The sequence below is a fragment of the Homo sapiens genome, chromosome 20, assembly GCF_000001405.40.
Source record: "Homo sapiens chromosome 20, GRCh38.p14 Primary Assembly".
Taxonomy (NCBI): Eukaryota; Metazoa; Chordata; class Mammalia; order Primates; family Hominidae; genus Homo; species Homo sapiens.
Window position 1 is genome coordinate 35,491,137 of NC_000020.11, and position 19,266 is coordinate 35,510,402.

A 19,266-nucleotide genomic window follows, 5' to 3' on the forward strand; every position below is an offset into this window, starting at 1 on the left:
GGATGTGCTTGTGGCCTCGTTGGTGAGCATGGTAATCCTGAGCCCACAAGCTGTTACCCCCCTACCCCTCCACAGATGCAGCTGGAAACAGAGAAGGAGAGAGTATCCCTCCTGGAGACACTGCTGCAGACGCAGAAGGAGCTAGCAGATGCCAGCCAACAACTGGAACGACTGAGGCAGGACATGAAAGTCCAGAAATTAAAGGAGCAGGTATGGAGGGTGGTCTCGGGAGTAGGGGAGAAAGGGGCACTCATTTACCCATTCGACCATGAAGGGTTCTTGGGCACTTCTTATGTGCCAGGCCCTGTGCTAGGTGCTGACATATGACAAGTACATAAAGGTATGGCACAGGCTGGGCAGGGTAGATCACGCCTGTAATCCCAGCACTTTGGCAGGCCAAGGTGGGTGGATCACCTAAGGTCAGGAGTTAAAGACCAACCTGAGCAACATGGTGAAACCCATCTCTACTAAAAATACAAAAATTAGCCGGGCATGGTGGCAGGCCCCTGTAATCCCAGCACATTGGGAGGCTGAGGCGGACAGATCAGTTGAGGTCAGGAGTTCGAGACTAGCCTGGCCAACATGGTGAAACCTCATCTCTACAAAAATACAAAAATTAGCTGTGTGTGGTGGCATTTGCCTGTAATCCCAGCTGCTTGGGAGGCTGAAGCAGGAGAATAGCTTGAGCCCAGGAGGCGGAGGTTGCAGTGAGCCGAGGTCACGCCACTGCATTCCAGCCTTGGTGATAGAGCGAGTCTCAAAAAAAAAAAAAAAAAAAAAAAGGTGTGGCACAGCAGTCAGCATAACAGACATTGCCCCTGCTCTCAAGGAACTTACATTCCTGTGGCAGAAATGGATGACAAATGAGCAGACACAAAGTAAATGAGATTATTACAGTTTGTGATAAGTGCTGTAAAGGAAATAGAATGATACAACTGAGAGTGAGTCAAAGGAGGTTCACTTTGCACTTAGTGGTCAGGGAAGGCCTCACTGAGAAAGTAACATCTGAGCTGAGACTTGAAGGTTAGAAAGAAACCAGCTCCGTGATACAACATAGGTGAACCTTGAAAACATCAGGTTAAGTGGAAGAGCCATATATTTTATATGATATGCTTCCATTTATATGAAACACCAAGAATAGGCAACTCTATAGAGGCAGAAAACAGATTTATGGTGGGGAATGGGGTGGGGAATGGGGATTGACTGTGAATGGGCACGGGGTTTATTTTGGGATTGATGGAAATGTTCTAAGATTGATTGCGATGATAGTTGCACAACTCTGTGAATATCCTAAAACCCACTACACAGTATACGTTAAATGAGTGAATTGTATGGTATATGAGTTATATCTCAAGCCATTTGAAAAAAAAAATGCCTGCCATGTGAAGAACACTTTAGGCAGAGGAAACACCTGTCGCAAGGGCCCTGGGACACAGAAGAGGGCTTGGGAAGTTCAAGGACAAAAAGGAGGCAGTGTGGCTCCAGCTTGATAAACTCAGGGGCGAGTGGAGCGGTAGCCAGAAGCCCTGTGTCAGCCATTGTAGGAGCTTGGATTTTGTTCTAAGAGCAATGGGAAACTGTTGGGTGGTATGTATGTATGTATTTGTTTGAGACTGAGTCTCGCTCTGTCACCCAGGCTAGAGTGCGGTGGCACTATCTCAGCTCACTGCAACCTTCGCCTCCCAGGTTCAAGCAATTCTTGTGCCTCAGCCTCCCAAGTAGCTGGGATTACAGGTGCCCGCCACCATGCTTGGCTAATTTTTGTATTTTTAGTGGAGAAAGGGTTTCACCATGTTGGCCAGGGTCGTCTCAAACTTCTGACCTCAAGTGATCCACCCACCTTGGTTTCCCTAAGTGTTGGGATGATAGGCGTGAGCCACCGCGCCTGGGCAGTTGGATGGTATTTAAAAAGCAGGGGTGGGATATGATTTATTTATATATACGTATACATATGTATATACATATATGTATATGTATTCTCTACTCTCCTGAGTAGAGAATAGTGTGTGTGTGTTTTTAGGGGATCGTGGCATCAAGTGGAAGTAGGGATATGGTTAGGAGACTGTTTCCATGGTCTAGGTGAGAGACTATTACCAATTCATGGACTCTGACCAAGAAACCTGGGTGAGCCAGTGCACTTTGTGAGGGAGGAGAGGGACTAGGAAGTGAGAAGGTGAGGTGGAAACAATGTGGATTGCTGGCTCCTGCCTCAGCTTTTGCCACCCCACCAAAAAAACCAGTATTTCTATGACACAGATTTCCTCTACTCAATGATTTCTTATCCCTCTTCAGGAGACCACTGGGATACTACAGACCCAGCTCCAGGAGGCTCAACGGGAGCTGAAGGAGGCAGCCCGGCAGCACAGAGATGACCTTGCTGCCCTCCAAGAAGAGAGCAGCTCCCTGCTGCAGGATAAGATGGACCTGCAGAAGCAGGTCCCCTCCTCCTCCCCACCAAGTCCCATGGTCCTTCCCCAACACAGCCAGGCTTTCCCACTTCCTCTTGCAGGACAGGGAGAACCTTGGCCCTGCTGCCTGGTTTGGGAGGGTAGATGGGTGGGCCACAGTACTGAGTGGAAAATTAGAGGGTGCTCAGAGTTGAGCATGTGCCTGGCAGAGCCCTGGGATAGTAATCTCTTTCTCTGTAATGGTCACAGAGTTTTTGTTTTCCCTGGCTGTCTCAGTTTCAATTGTTCTTTCCGTCCTTGCCAAAAATCTAATATTTTTACATACTAGGTTGCTTCTCCTCAGAATCCTATATCAAATGATGTTCTGACTTTTCATTTTTAAAAAAGCAATCACAATACATGTTTTGCCTTTGGGAGTAGTTATAGTCAGCCTTTTTTTCCTTCTTTTTGGTGGGGGAGACAGGATTTCACTATGTCGCCCGGGCTGAAGTGCAGATCATAACTCACTGCAGTCTTGACTTCCCAAGCTCAAGCAATTCTCCCACCTCAGCCCCCTGAGTAGCTGGGACTACAGATGTGTGCCATCACACTGGCTAATTTTTAAATTTTTATAGAGACAGGGTCTCACTATGTTGCCCAGACTGATCTCGAACTCCTGGTCTCAAGCAGTCTGCTCGCCTTGGCCTCCCAAAGTGTTGAGATTACAGGTGTGAGCCACCGCACCCAGCCCAGCCAAGATTTTTATTTGTGCCTGCCTCTATGCAGCATATGTGAGGCTGGGAGGCAGATGACCAGGCCGAATTGTATTGAGGAAGGGGGTGGTTAAGAACAGTGTGTAGGAATTGGTAGAATCGCCAGAGCATTGGAAATGGCCACTGACTATGGTAAACCTCGAAGGACCCTGAAGCCCTAGGTGAGGAGCATCTTCCCACCGGCCCCCTGCCCTGCCATCTTGGTCTTCATGCCCTTAATTTTCCAGGTGGAGGACTTGAAGTCTCAGCTGGTGGCCCAGGATGACTCCCAGAGGCTGGTGGAGCAGGAGGTTCAGGAGAAGCTGAGAGAGACCCAGGAGTATAACCGAATTCAGAAGGAGCTGGAGAGAGAGAAAGCCAGGTAGGCTAGATAGGCCATGGAGGTGGCTTTTGTCTATCTGGCTGCCATGGTCACTGTGATATTGACAGTTGTTTGCTCAGGCCACCTTGCCTTTCATGTCTGCAACTCTGGGATGTACATGTAGCCATGTGGAGAGGACATGGTTCCTGTCTTCAAAGCTTGAACTTCATTTATTTAGTAAATATTTCGTGAACGCCTGTTATGCACCAGGCACCATGCTTGGGGATACAGTGATAAACAAGACTGTATGGTCCCTGCCCCAGTAGAATTTATAGTTTTGTGGGGAAGACATTAATCAAATAATAACTCAAATTATTACGTTATGACACATGGAGGAAACAGGGTGAGAGAGAGAAGAGACTTTAGAACCATTGTTAGGGAAGGCCTTTCTCAGGAAGTTGCATTTAAACTGAGCACTCAGCATGAAGTGGAGCTACCCATGTAAAAGGGTGAGGGGGAGTTCTATTCCGTAAGAGGAGAAATAATATGCAAAGGCCGTGAGGCAGATAAAAGTTTACAGTGTTAACTGAAAGAGTGGTTGGAGCCTGATTGGATTGTAATTGGAGCCTGGTGAATGAGGAGAGTGGCATGAGCTGGGCAGGTCCACAGCATTCAAGATTTGGTAGGCCACAGCAAGGAGTTCGTAGTTTGAGTTTCATAGGAAACCTCTGGAGAATTTTAAGCAGGGAAATTGATACAATCCAACTTATGATGTATTTGAAGGGATTGTAATGCCATGAGACATCAGGAGTGAAAGAAGACCATTCAGAGTGAAGAGCAGCTTGTATTCTTAGTGCTGTGGGAATTTGAGAAGGGGATGGGCTGGGTGCTGTGTCCCACGACTGTAATCCCAGCACTTTGGGAGGCTGAGGTGGGCAGATCACTTGAGGTCAGGAATTCAAGACCAGCCTGGCCAACATGTCTACTAAAAATACAAAAAAAAATTAGCTGGGCATGGTGGTGGGTGCCTGTAATGCCAGCTACTTGGAAGGCTGAGGCAGGAGAATTGCTTGAACCAGGAGGTGGAGGTTGCAGTGAGCTGAGATCACACCACTGCACTCCAGCCTCGGTGACAGAACGAGACTCCATCTCAAAAAAAGCAAAAAACAACAAAAAAAAGACACAGTTTGAGAAGGGACACATTATTTTGGTGGTGAATCTAGAGGCAGGAAGACAAGTTAGGCTGGTACAGTTGTCCTGATGAGAGATCCTAAAGCTAAACCAAGGTAGGGTAGTGGGGAAGAGGAGGAGAGAAGAGAAGAGGTTTAAAGGATGTTAAGGGAGTTAGAATCAATTGTATATAATTATAGATTGGATGTAGGTAGGTTGAAGGGAGAACTCTGGAGTAGTCAAGGTTCTACGTTAGGACACTGTGTGGATGGAAGTGCCATTCACTGAGCTAGGGAACATAGTAGGAGATGATTGGGTGGACAGGGGAGGAGAGGAAAGGGATGGGGAAGATTTGGACATGTTGAACGTGAGGTACTAATATAAGGTATGTGTGAAATTTGCCAGAGAAGAATAAGGTTGATAGCTAGGCATGGTGGCGCATGCCTGCAATCCCAGCTACTCTGGAGGCTGAGGCACGAGAATCATTTGAACCCGGGAGGCAGAGGCTGCAGTGAGCCGAGATCGTGCCACTGTACCCCAGCCTGGGTAACAGAGCAAGACTCTGTCTCAATAAAAAAAAAACACAAAAAAACCTGTGAGGTTGAAATGGGGCATCATCTGCAGGAAGTACCTAGGAGCACTTATTATAGTAAGTGCTCAATAAATGATAGCTTTTATTGTTACATCATAATCATTATCATTACTATTTCTATTTTGATTATTAATGCTATGTTTAGAATACTCAGATGAGAAGGTAATTTTTCATTCCCTAAGAGAATGGCCCAGCACTCTGACCCCTCTCTTTTTAGCCTGACTCTCTCACTGATGGAAAAGGAACAGAGACTCCTTGTTTTACAAGAAGCTGACTCTATTCGACAACAAGAGCTGAGTGCCCTGCGCCAGGACATGCAGGAGGCCCAGGGAGAACAGAAAGAGCTCAGTGCTCAGGTACTTCCCACTCTGGTTATGAGCTCTGCATCCCTGGCAGAAGCCTGATTCTGAAGCGGTGGATTGATTGCTCTGAGTCCTCTCATGGAGAGGACCCATCTATTTTTCCTGATTACAGGATAGGCTGGTGCCTCAACACCCCTACAGGAGGGGGAAGCCAGGACTAGACAAGGCGGGGGCTTGGGAATCTGACCCAGAGATGGACATGGCTCCTGTGGGAAACCTGACAGCCCACAGCAAAGTGCACACGGGTGTAGCCCATGCAGGCCTGGTTCCAGCACACCGGCTTCAAAGTATGCTGGGTCTGGTTGGCAAGATGTAGCAGGGAGAATGAGCAACCAGAAATACTCCAGATCAGGCAGGCAGCAGCAAGACTTCCAGGGACTCAGTCTGCCCCCATCAGAACCCCAGATATTGTATACAGAGAAAAGATGGAACTAGGAGGGAAGGAATGGGGTGTAAGAGCCAGATGGTGGCTTGCAGGGGTTAAGGGCACACAGGTTTGGCTGTTCAATGGTCTTGAGTTTGAATGTAAGCTTTCTAATTGTGTGAACGTCAGCTTCTTCATCCATAAAACAAGGGTGAACAATTCTTGTTCCTAATTCCTATAACCATTATAGGAATATATAAAGTGTCAGGAACACAATAAGCATTCAATACATGGTAGCTATGTTATTGTGACTGGTCTTACTAGGCGCAGCGTCGAGGTTTCAGGGCAGAGTTCTGGTCATAGCAAGGAGCCAGCATATCTGCCCAGGAAGCCAGGGCTGAAGCCCATTAGCATAGCAGCCTGGGCCCATGTGTTCAGTAGTCGGCAGGCAGCCAGGTGTTAGATCTAGGGTAACACTCATTTCAGAGCCCCTCTACCTGCCTGAGAGCTGAGCTGAAATCCTCCCAGCCCTGATCAGAGTTTGTACAAGGATTGAGTGGGGTCTGGCCTGGGAAGGCCTGAGGAGAGGGTATCCGCTTCCTGCTTATATTATGTAAAATTCTTCCTTGACAGATGGAATTACTAAGGCAAGAGGTGAAGGAAAAGGAGGCTGACTTTCTGGCCCAGGAAGCACAGCTGCTGGAGGAGCTGGAGGCGTCTCATATCACGGAGCAGCAGCTGCGAGCCTCCTTGTGGGCCCAGGAAGCCAAGGCAGCCCAACTACAGCTGCGACTGCGCAGCACAGAGAGCCAGCTAGAAGCGCTGGCCGCAGAGCAGCAGCCCGGGAACCAGGCCCAGGCCCAGGCCCAGCTGGCCAGCCTCTACTCTGCCCTGCAGCAGGCCCTGGGGTCTGTTTGTGAGAGCAGGCCTGAGCTGAGTGGTGGGGGAGACTCTGCTCCTTCCGTCTGGGGCCTTGAGCCAGGTGAGACAGCCTCCCCAGAACTAGGTCCTTTGGGCCAAAGCCAGGCCTGGCTCCCAGGGGAAAGGGAGAGGAATGCTATTTGTTAGACCATATTGCTTCAGGGTTAAGATTACATACTTGGGAATTAATTCTGAGTTTAAGCCCCAGCTCTACCATTTGCTAGCTATGTGTCCTTGGGCAAGTCACCTGTCCTCTCTGAGCTTGATTTTCCTCAACTACAAAATGAGGATGTTAAAAGTATTTACCTTATAATTTCACCAAGGAGTTATGAGGTTGCAGATGTGAATCACTTACACGGTTCCTGGCACTTATTAAGTGCGTAATAAGTGATAGCTCGCATTAATCTAGCACCCACCATAGTGCCTGGCCCATACTTATGGAGAAAATATGTGATGAGTGAACTGCTGAGAAAGGGGTTCTTTGCGGAGAGGAGGGACCAGTTGGAAGGACAGGGCTGTGTCTGGAGAGGTCTGGCTGTTTCTTTTCATAGTGGCAGCCAGGTAAGGAGGTTTTCCTCATTTTTTCAGACCAGAATGGAGCTAGGAGCCTCTTTAAGAGAGGGCCCCTGCTGACTGCTCTCTCCGCTGAGGCAGTAGCATCTGCCCTCCACAAGCTTCATCAAGACCTGTGGAAGACTCAACAGACCCGGGTATGTTTCTCTGCTCCCCTTTCCCGAACTCTTTACATCCCTGGAAAAGCATGAGGCAAAGGGGTGTGAAGCAGTTTGACCTGTTTTATTCCTGAGATCAAGTTGGGATGAGTTTCACCTCTATCACTTACCACCTGGCAACCACAAATGAAGCATTTGAAGTTCCTGGGCCTTGTTTTCCCTTGCAGAGTAGGGCAGATAGTGCCTGCTCAGGGTTTTGAGGATTAGATGAGAGAGGATCTTGAATGAGCCCTGTAAACCAAAAAACCCTGGGTAGGCCAGGCACGGTGGCTCATGCCTGTAATCCCAGTGCTTTGGGAGGCTGAGACAGGTGGATCACCTGAGGTCAGGAGTTCAAAATCAGCCTGGCCAACATGGTGAAACCCCATCTCTACTAAAAATACAAAAATTAGCCAGAGGTGGCGGTGGGCACCTGTAATCCCAGCTACTCAGGAGGCTGAGGCAGGAGAATCACTTGAACCTGGGAGGTGGAGGTTGCAGTGAGCCAAGATTGTGCCATTGCACTCCAGGTTGAACGACAAAAGTGAAACTCCATCTCAAACAAACACAAAAAAACCCTGGGCAGATGTATGGCATTGTTTTCCATCATCTTCCACTCAGCTATGAATTAATTCTTGGTACCCAGGCTTCCAAGAGAAACCCTAGAAATCAGTGACCACTGAGATTTGAGGTTGGCATTTATAGGCATGTTCTAGGCCTAGGTCTGAAAGAGCTCATAAATTCCACCTCACAGTGAACCTATCAGTCAATACAAATTGAGTGTCATCCATATGTCAGCCACTCTGGGCTGGGTATACAAAAAGGAGAAAGACCTGGTCTCTGCCTAAAGAAGGCTTGTGACATGGTGGAGGAACCAAACTGCATTCTACTGGAAAGCAGAACTGAGAGAATTAATTGGATCAATAACAGACGCAAGTGATGCACTGTTGGAACTAGGAGGAGGGGGCAATTCATCCTGATTTGGGAAGGGTCAGAAGGAAAGAAGAGATGACCTTTGGGCTGAGCTTTGAAGTAGGAGTGTTGAGAGGGAAGTGGTGACCCCTGGGCTAACTTTGAGCAGGAGCTCTGTTTCAAAAGACATAGATAGGTCAGAAGGGGATGGATTCTCACACTCCATCCAAGTGGAGCAGAGCCTGTCATCACTTCAGGAAGCTAAATACACATGTGTTTAAAGGAAGTAACCCGGCAATCTGGGAGTAGGTCCACAATGGCGGCCCACCACAGAAGCTGAGAATGAGGAGAGAGCTTGAGCCCTGCATTGTTTTGTGGAAGATGAGGAACTCACGTTTAGCCATGCCCTTCCTTTCCCAGGATGTTCTGAGGGATCAGGTCCAGAAACTGGAAGAGCGTCTAACTGATACTGAGGCTGAGAAGAGCCAGGTCCACACAGAGTTGCAGGATCTGCAGAGACAGCTCTCCCAGAATCAGGAAGGTGAGAAGCTCAAGACAGGCAGGGAGATTGAGAGGGAGAAGGGATAGGTGGGGAGCCCAGAAGTGGCAGGCACAGGCCTAGCAGCCACTCTGTTTATTTTATTTTATTTTTGAGACGACATCTCACTCTGTCACTCAGGTTTGAGTACAATGTCACGACTTCGGCTCGCTGCAACCTATGTCTTCCGAGCAGCTAGGATTATAGGCATGCGCCACCACGCCTGGCTAATTTTTTTGGATTTTTAATAAAGACGGGGTTTCACCATGTTCACCAACCAGCGGAGCCACCGGGGTCTCTAGGAGCTCCTGCACAATTATAGGATTGGGGGCTAGAAGGGACCTCCAGTGTCATCTGGCTCAACCCTGTCTGGAATTGAGGGCCAAGGCTCTCTGTGATGAGGATGAGGACATATTGGGATGATTACCAGGCAGCGCTGGGGCTGGCAGCAGCAGGGAGTGCTTGAACTCCTGGCCTCAAGTGATCCGCCTGCCTCGACCTCCCAAAGTGCTAGGATTACAGGCGTGAGCCACTGCGCCCAGCTGCACTGCATTATTTACCCAGAAATGTGAGGTGAGATCTAGATGCACTTCCAAAGGGGTGCTGACCACCTTGAACTATTTTTTCAGCTTTGCTTGGCCTTTGAGGCCCATCCTGGAAGAAGAGATTAGGAGGAACAGATTTGATGAACTGAAAGAAGGAAATGGCTGGGCTTCCATTTTCTGTCTCTGTAGATTTAAAAATTAAAAAAATTGGAGACCCAGGGCCAGGACTGTAAGAACATTATAAAACTGCATCTTTTGTCATCCATGTTACTTATTTTTATCATCTTCAACTGTGTCCTCCAAGTTAGCCTTTGGTAGCTGAGGGATTATGAGCTTATTTGGGAGAAAGCAAAGAGAGGGGATCTGGGGAGGATATATCCATGTGCCAGCCAAGGACTAGAAAGTGTCATGACTCCTTACAAAGGACAGGAGAGGAAGGGTCTTGAAGCTCAAGTTTCTACTGTAAAAGAGAAGAGTTAGCCGGGTGTGGTGGTGGGCACCTGTAATCCCAACTACTCGGGAGGCTGAGGCAGGGGAATCGCTTGAACCCGGGAGGTGGAGGTTGCAGTGAGCCGAGATTGTGCCACTGCATTCCAGCCTGGGTGACAGAGCAAGACTCCATCTCAAAAAAAGAAAAAAAGAGAAGAGGACACCTTGGGTCTGGGCCTTTTTTGAGGCCGTTTGAGGGTTCCCTGAGAGCCACAAAAATAATGGGATTCCAACGCCTGTTGCAGAAATGGTGGGCAACCAGCAGAGCCACCCGGGTCTCTAGGAGCTCCTGCACAATTATAGGACTGGGGGCTAGAAGGAACCTCCAGTGTCATCTGGCTCAACCCTGTCTGGAATTGAGGGCCAAGGCTCTCTGTGATGAGGATGAGGACATATTGGGATGATTACCAGGCAGTGCTGGGGCTGGCAGCAGCAGGGAGTGCTGCCAGGCAAATAGAAGCAGCTGGCATCTGCCAGCTCTTGATGTCCTTGATATCTCTAGGACACTGGATATAATTTTCTCCTTCTTGGCCTTCCTTCCCTTTGAATCTGTTCCCCATCCTCCATCTGCCTCTATATCCCTCTATATCCCAAACATGGGTCTTACTCCACTACCTCTCCTCTCCTCTCCTCTCTTCTCAAAGAGAAATCTAAGTGGGAAGGAAAGCAGAACTCCCTAGAATCTGAGCTGATGGAACTACATGAAACTATGGCATCCTTACAGAGTCGCCTGCGGAGAGCAGAGCTACAGCGAATGGAAGCCCAGGTAAAGTGGTACTGGTTTCAGGGAGGGGTTTGCCTCAGGAGTAGTCCCTTGGGCCCACCTTGGCCTGTGGTCCTGTGTCCCACTTCCTTCAGCAAGTCTGTCAGTTCCTCTGGCTGTCTCCATGTCCCTGGGGGCCATTATTCAGGTTCCAATGAATCCTCCTTCAATTGCTTTTTCTGAATTGAGGTTGATATTTTTGCCCCTTGTCCTGAAGGACCAGCGTCTCCCCTGGGCATAGCAGAGTCCTGGAAGGTGGTAGGGATGCCCTTTTACAGTATCAGCTTAAGTGGAATATACCACCACTTTTTTTTGCCCAAGTCCTTATCACTGCTAGTGCCACAAAATAAGAAAGAGAAGGGTCGGTGTTGGGGTGACAGTAGCAGGGAAGTGTAGTCTAAAGTGGCTTTTCATCTTGTCTTCTAGGGTGAGCGAGAGTTACTTCAGGCAGCCAAGGAGAACCTGACAGCCCAGGTGGAACACCTGCAAGCAGCTGTCGTAGAAGCCAGGGCTCAGGCAAGTGCTGCTGGCATCCTGGAAGAAGACCTGAGAACGGCTCGCTCAGCACTGAAGCTGAAAAATGAGGAAGTAGAGAGTGAGCGTGAGAGAGCCCAGGCTCTGCAAGAGCAGGGCGAACTGAAGGTGGCCCAAGGGAAGGCTCTGCAAGAGAATTTGGCCCTCCTGACCCAGACCCTAGCTGAAAGAGAAGAGGAGGTGGAGACTCTGCGGGGACAAATCCAGGAACTGGAGAAGCAACGGGAAATGCAGAAGGCTGCTTTGGAATTGCTGTCTCTGGACCTGAAGAAGAGGAACCAAGAGGTAGATCTGCAGCAAGAACAGATTCAGGAGCTAGAGAAGTGTAGGTCTGTTTTAGAGCATCTGCCCATGGCCGTCCAGGAGCGAGAGCAGAAGCTGACTGTGCAGAGGGAGCAGATCAGAGAGCTCGAGAAGGATCGGGAGACTCAGAGGAACGTCTTGGAGCATCAGCTTCTAGAACTTGAGAAGAAAGACCAAATGATTGAGTCCCAGAGAGGACAGGTTCAGGACCTGAAAAAGCAGTTGGTTACTCTGGAATGCCTGGCCCTGGAACTGGAGGAAAACCATCACAAGATGGAGTGCCAGCAAAAACTGATCAAGGAGCTGGAGGGCCAGAGGGAAACCCAGAGAGTGGCTTTGACCCACCTTACGCTGGACCTAGAAGAAAGGAGCCAGGAGCTGCAGGCACAAAGCAGCCAGATCCATGACCTGGAGAGCCACAGCACCGTTCTGGCAAGAGAGCTGCAGGAGAGGGACCAGGAGGTGAAGTCTCAGCGAGAACAGATCGAGGAGCTGCAGAGGCAGAAAGAGCATCTGACTCAGGATCTCGAGAGGAGAGACCAGGAGCTGATGCTGCAGAAGGAGAGGATTCAGGTTCTCGAGGATCAGAGGACCCGGCAGACCAAGATCCTGGAGGAGGACCTGGAACAGATCAAGCTGTCCTTGAGAGAGCGAGGCCGGGAGCTGACCACTCAGAGGCAGCTGATGCAGGAACGGGCAGAGGAAGGGAAGGGCCCAAGTAAAGCACAGCGCGGGAGCCTAGAGCACATGAAGCTGATCCTGCGTGATAAGGAGAAGGAGGTGGAATGTCAGCAGGAGCATATCCATGAACTCCAGGAGCTCAAAGACCAGCTGGAGCAGCAGCTCCAGGGCCTGCACAGGAAGGTAGGTGAGACCAGCCTCCTCCTGTCCCAGCGAGAGCAGGAAATAGTGGTCCTGCAGCAGCAACTGCAGGAAGCCAGGGAACAAGGGGAGCTGAAGGAGCAGTCACTTCAGAGTCAACTGGATGAGGCCCAGAGAGCCCTAGCCCAGAGGGACCAGGAACTGGAGGCTCTGCAGCAAGAACAGCAGCAGGCCCAGGGACAGGAGGAGAGGGTGAAGGAAAAGGCAGACGCCCTCCAGGGAGCTCTGGAGCAAGCCCATATGACACTGAAGGAGCGTCATGGAGAGCTTCAGGACCACAAGGAACAGGCACGAAGGCTGGAGGAAGAGCTGGCAGTGGAGGGACGGCGGGTCCAGGCCCTGGAGGAGGTGCTGGGAGACCTAAGGGCTGAGTCTCGGGAACAGGAGAAAGCTCTGTTGGCCCTCCAGCAGCAGTGTGCTGAGCAGGCACAGGAGCATGAGGTGGAGACCAGGGCCCTGCAGGACAGCTGGCTGCAGGCCCAGGCAGTGCTCAAGGAACGGGACCAGGAGCTGGAAGCTCTGCGGGCAGAAAGTCAGTCCTCCCGGCATCAGGAGGAGGCTGCCCGGGCCCGGGCTGAGGCTCTGCAGGAGGCCCTTGGCAAGGCTCATGCTGCCCTGCAGGGGAAAGAGCAGCATCTCCTCGAGCAGGCAGAATTGAGCCGCAGTCTGGAGGCCAGCACTGCAACCCTGCAAGCCTCCCTGGATGCCTGCCAGGCACACAGTCGGCAGCTGGAGGAGGCTCTGAGGATACAAGAAGGTGAGATCCAGGACCAGGATCTCCGATACCAGGAGGATGTGCAGCAGCTGCAGCAGGCACTTGCCCAGAGGGATGAAGAGCTGAGACATCAGCAGGAACGGGAGCAGCTGCTGGAGAAGTCTCTGGCCCAGAGGGTCCAAGAGAATATGATCCAAGAGAAGCAGAATCTGGGGCAAGAGAGAGAAGAGGAGGAGATAAGGGGCCTTCATCAGAGTGTAAGGGAGCTACAGCTGACTCTAGCCCAAAAGGAACAGGAGATTCTGGAGCTGAGGGAGACCCAGCAAAGGAACAACCTGGAAGCCTTACCCCACAGCCACAAAACCTCCCCAATGGAGGAACAATCTCTAAAACTTGATTCTTTAGAGCCCAGGCTGCAGCGGGAGCTGGAGCGGCTACAGGCAGCCCTGAGACAGACAGAAGCCAGGGAGATTGAGTGGAGGGAGAAGGCCCAGGACTTGGCACTCTCCCTAGCGCAGACCAAGGCCAGTGTCAGCAGTCTGCAGGAGGTAGCCATGTTCCTACAAGCCTCTGTCCTGGAGCGGGACTCAGAACAGCAAAGGCTGCAGGTAAGTCACTCCATGGGGAGTAAGGGCCAGGGGACACACCCCTGTCTGGCTGAGCTCAGGGACTGCCCACCACCCTGGGCCCTGTGGCACCTCAGGGGTATGAGAAAGCTGAGATCATGAGCACCTCAACATCGGTGGGATTCAGGCTACTGTGCTAGTCGGGAGATACAGAGAGGATAAGAACCCCACAGTCCCTGCCCTCACAGAGTTCACAGTCTAGTGGGTAAACAACGATAATGCAGTGTGGTTGGTGCCTAATGGGGGAAGTTTAGTATGCCCCAGGCATGCTGGAGGGATGCCCACCCTTTCCTGGGAGTGGGTCCTGAAAGGCTTTCTGGTAAAAGTGGTGTTTAAGATTAGACCTGGGCCAGGCACGGTGGCTCACGCCGGTAATCCCAGCACTTTGGGAAGCCGAGGCGGGCAGATCACTTGAGGTCAGGAGTTCGAGACCAGTCTGGCCAACATGGTGAAACCCCGTCTCTACTAAAAATACAAAAATTAGCCAGGTATGCTGGCATGTGCCTGTGATCCCAGCTACTTGGGAGTCTGAGGCAGGAGAATTGCTTGAACTCAGGAGGCGGAGGTTGCAGTGAGCCGAGATCGCACCATTGCACTCGAGCCTGGGCAAAGAAACGAGACTCCATCTCAAAAAAAAAAAAAAAAAAATAGACGTGAAGGGACCAGTAAGGAACTAGCCAAGCACAGGTTGAGGAGGAGCATTCACGGGAAGAGGAAAAGAGGGCGAGAACAAGTGTAGTATCTGTGTAGATGGTTCAGGTTGCATGGGACAGAGGGAGGATTTGGGAAGAGACCGGAAGACAGCAGGGGCCACACCTGTCAGGGCTTACAAGTCATGCTGAGGACCTGGGTGGTGGGAAGCAGATGAAGTTTTTGCAGCAGGGGAGTGATGTGATCAGACATACAGCTCACAAAGATTGCTCAGGCTGCCGTGTGGAGCAACAGCATGTCTGGAGAGACCCACTGGGAGGCTGTACTGGGAAGTCCAGGGGAGAGCTTGTGCCCTAAGATGGAAAGTGTGAATGGAGACATGTGGGTGGGTCTGAGAGGTAGGACTTGATTGGCTAAGAGGTGGGAGGAATAAAGAGAGGGCAGAAAGAAGTCAAAGATGACACTCAGGTTCCTGTTCATGAAGATGAAGAGAAGCAGGTGTGAGAAAGAGGAGTGGAATGAATGATGAGGTCAGTTTGGAAATGGAGGGAGGAGCCTGTTGGCAGGTCAGTAAAATGATCTGAAGCTGAAGGATGGAGTTGAAGCCAGAGACACTTTGGAGTCATCAGCAGTTAGAACAAATGGGTTTCTTGTAGGCAGAATGTTGAGTGAGAGAGGAAGTGGGCTTAGGAGAGGACTTCAGGGTGTATTATTTAACCTCAAGGTCAAGCACCGTGTCTTAGTCACCTTTGTACCCCCGGTACTGAGCACAAGACCTGCAGAGAGCAGGCAAACAGGAAAGCCAAGTTGGCTCAAGAGAGAGAGGCATCATCTCTTTTTCCAAAAGACGCCCAGTCCAATTTTCCAGGGAAATAGACTCTACATCCTGGTCCCTTGACTGGGCCCCAGAGAACCCCAGACACACAGTCCCCCAGAGAGTTCATTCTGGGAACTCACAAAGCTCTGCTCTTGGTGAAGGGCAATATGAGGAGAAGGAGGTCCATCTGTGAACTCCAAAGTTCACAGGGTTTGAAATACAGTAGTGCGGCTTATCAGCTGTGTAACCCCGGGTGAATGCCTTCACTCTGATCTTCAATTTCTCATCAGTAATATAGGCATTGGTGGTATGACATGGCATGATATGTATGAATTGCTTAGGAAGAAAGCACTAAGTGGACCTCCTTTCCTATGTTCAGGCCCATTCTTACAGGCACAGCAAAAGTAAGTTATGTAATTGGGCAGGAGGGCACTTCCCACCCATACTCTTGGGTTACTGAGCAGTATTCACTCAATAACATAACTCTGGTCAGAGTCACTTCACCCACTGCCACCTCCAAACACACAGGGTGAGACTCTTGTCTCAAAAAAACAAACTCATAAATGGCAGGACTGGAATGAGGTCTGAGTCATCTGCCTCTAGAGCGCAGGCTTTCTGTCACCAAGCTCTTCCTCTCTCCCAGGCAACCCACATCCACCTGCGTACACTTGTTTTCTCTTGTTCATCTCTTCTTGACTGTTATCATTTATGAACCACAGGGCACCTAGAAAGTATCTAGCATGAGGCTTCCCCATTTATCCAAAGGGACTTAACCTAAGGACTTGATCCATGTTTCATGGTGCATGTAGTCGTTTTATAAATGAGGAAATTGGGGTTTGGGGAGAGCTTGTGCTTTGACCAGAGTCATATAGCCACTGAGTGGCTATATGGGCCACTGGGTACGCCACAGGGCACCCAGCCCTGTGTGACTCGAGAGTCCATGCTGTTCCCACAGCACATCAGTGCTCTGAGTCATTGCTCAGCCTTCTAGGAGATGTGAAGTGAGCTGGGGGCTCTGATCCTAGCTTCCTTGCTAGCTCACCGCATATCCTTGAGAAGAGCCCCTCTGCTCCTTTGTTTTACCTATCTGTAAAATGAAGGTTCTGTACTAGAATGACTCAGAGCCTCTAGGAAAAATAAGACAAAAGCCTGAGGAGAACATTGAACCGCTGTTTGTGTGGAGGATGGGTTGGTCTGGATATGAGGTTGGCAAGGTGTGATTTTGCTCCATACCTCCGTACCCTAGGATGAACTGGAGCTCACCAGACGGGCTCTGGAGAAGGAGCGGCTACACAGCCCAGGTGCAACCAGCACAGCAGAACTGGGGTCCAGAGGGGAGCAGGGTGTGCAGCTGGGAGAGGTGAGCTGGGGGCTCTGGGGGAACAGGTGACCCAGCAGGGAGCTCCTGTCCAGGGGTTTGTCCCCTTCCCTTGGGAACTGGGTTCCTGAAGCTTAAACCTGCCAGATTGGTCTGTGTGTCCTCTGTCTGTTCCCTACCTGTCTTAGGGGCTGCCCAGGTGAGATTCACAGGTCTTTCCCACAGGTCTCAGGAGTGGAGGCTGAGCCTAGTCCTGATGGAATGGAGAAGCAGTCATGGAGACAAAGGCTTGAACACCTGCAGCAAGCAGTGGCCCGGCTGGAGATTGACAGGAGCAGGCTGCAGCGCCACAATGTCCAGCTGCGGAGTACCTTGGAGCAGGTGACCCCTCTTCTTGTCCAGTGGGCATGCATCTCCACTTCTCGTGTGGTCCCTAGAGCATAGGCTCAGTAAATTACAGCCTGTGGGCCAAATCCAGCCTGCTGCCTGTTTCTGAAAATTAAGTTTGTTTTTTTTTTTCCCGAGACAGAGTCTTGCTCTGTCTCCTAGAGCTGGAGTGGAATGGTACGATCTCCGCTCACTGCAACCTCCACCTCCCGGGTTCAAGCAATCCTCCTGCCCCAGCCTCCTGAATAGCTGGGATTACAGGCATGCACCACCATGCCTGGCTAATTGTTGTATTTTTAGTAGAGATGGTGTTTCACTATGTTGGCCAGGCTGGTCTTGAACTCCTGACCTTGTGATCCGCCTGCCTCAGCTTTCCAAAGTGCTGGGATTACAGGTGTGAGCCACCACGCCCAGCCCTGAAAATTAAGTTTTATTGGAATACAGCCATGCATTGTTTATGGCTGCTTCCCTGCTATGCCCCACAAAGCCTACAGTACTTACTGCAGGAGAACTTTGCTGGCCTTTGCTCCAGAGGTCTGAGAGGCTGGCCCTGCCTCTTCTGCTTCAGGAGCACTTCTTTGCACTGAGGCCTGCCCTAGCTGTGCCTTCCTCAGCCAGGAGTTCTCTTCCCATGGTTACTGTCCCCTCATATACCTGCACAGGCACTGGCCACCTCTGGAGAAAGGCAGCTCTGCTCCAACCACAGAGCCAAGCCGAGCCCTGATTTCTTATTTGCACCTTGGCAGGTGGAGCGAGAACGGAGGAAGCTGAAGAGGGAGGCCATGCGTGCGGCCCAGGCAGGGTCCCTAGAGATCAGCAAGGCCACGGCTTCTTCACCCACACAGCAGGTTTACTCATTTTCCTCAGCTGCAGCCTTAGAGAGCCCAACCCCAGCCACCAGAAACTCAGCCCTCCTCATTGCATATCCCGGGCCAACAGCACTTCAGCTAGTCCAGAGAGCCCCTCCTGACTGCATTCTGCCCTGCTCGGCACAGCTCAGTCTGTCCCTGCCCTGAGAAGGAGGCCCAACATTGGGGTGGGGGTTGGGGTGGCTAGTGGCCCTGCCTTCTGAGGGACTTAGATCTGTGTACTCCCAGACCAGTGCCACAGGCTGGCCCGGGAGTGGGGCTCATGGGGCTCTGCTTAGGATCCCTGGTGTATGGGGGTTGTGTGGTGCTTGCCAGCTCCTGAGGAGCCTAGGAGCTTGATCACAGCTTGATCTCTTAGACCTTTTTACAATGTTGAGTTTATAGGCTTAGGGTCCATGGTCTTTCCTGGAGCCAGTGTCCCTTTTTTGGGTAAGAGGCTTGGGGAAGACTCCCCAAACTACTCGTCTAGGTGAGGTATCCCTGCCAACAGACACAGGCTTGCAGCCTGACAGGGAGGCGCTGTTTATGGTGGCTGAGCACTAGATCTCCATCCCTTGTCCTTTATTGAAAGTTCTCAAGGGCAGGCACCGTGTCTTCCTCTCTGCATCCTTAGCTCACAGCCCAGGGCTAGCACAAAGCAGATACATGGTGTACTTCTGTTAAATTAAAACATGCCTCAGAGAAGCAAATGCCATCCAGGCCTTTTGGATGTTTTGTGTCAGGTCTCCATGGCGTTGCCCATTATGCTGGTGTGGGGCCTCTCCTTGCTGCAGGGCCTGCTGCCCCATAGACGTCCAGTCTGAGTTCAGATGCTTCTGGCCCATAGCCCTTGCCCAGGCCCCTAAGATTGTGATGAGGTTCTGCAAGGAAACTTGCAGAAACCCCAGAGTGGGAAGGCCTATGCCAACAAGAGTGCTGTTTGTCTTCCTTAGGATGGGAGAGGACAGAAGAACTCAGATGCCAAGTGTGTGGCTGAACTGCAGAAAGAGGTATGTTCTGGATTTTCTAAGCCCATATTCCCTCCCTTGCACTCAGGCCCTTTGTGCACCTCCAGCAGGGAGAGGGGAAGTTCCTCCCTTCAGAGAACTTCAGTCTCCATGGGAGGCAAAAATAGTCCCAGTCCCAACCCCATCTCTCATATGCCTAGGGTGGGAGTGGGGAAGAAAGCATGATCCTGGCCCCCGACTTCCAAATCCATACTTAGAAAGGGAAAGGAATAGGAAGAGGGCTGAGGAGCAGGCAGAAGATTCTAGGAGGACAGGTGGGAGCAAGGGAAGCCATCCTGGCCTCCCTGCCCTCAGAGGTGCCCTCGCAGCCAAGACTGTTGCCAGTGCCCC

The 19,266-nt window shown here is 50.9% G+C and overlaps 1 protein-coding gene across 26 annotated transcripts in view; it reads left to right on the plus strand.

Moving 5' to 3' along the window:
- CEP250 (centrosomal protein 250) overlaps positions 1-19,266 on the plus strand; it is a 64,116-nt gene that overhangs the window by 35,972 nt on the left and 8,878 nt on the right. For 20 of the 26 annotated variants that reach the window (XM_006723691.2, XM_005260262.5, XM_005260264.5 and 17 more), the window contains 13 exon segments: positions 76-210; positions 2,293-2,436; positions 3,388-3,521; positions 5,441-5,579; positions 6,583-6,931; positions 7,459-7,580; positions 8,913-9,033; positions 10,709-10,830; positions 11,254-13,869; positions 16,602-16,715; positions 16,899-17,054; positions 17,807-17,908; positions 18,862-18,918. In XM_006723691.2, coding sequence (XP_006723754.1) covers positions 76-210; positions 2,293-2,436; positions 3,388-3,521; positions 5,441-5,579; positions 6,583-6,931; positions 7,459-7,580; positions 8,913-9,033; positions 10,709-10,830; positions 11,254-13,869; positions 16,602-16,715; positions 16,899-17,054; positions 17,807-17,908; positions 18,862-18,918 — 4,311 coding nt within the window. 26 annotated transcript variants of the gene reach the window in all.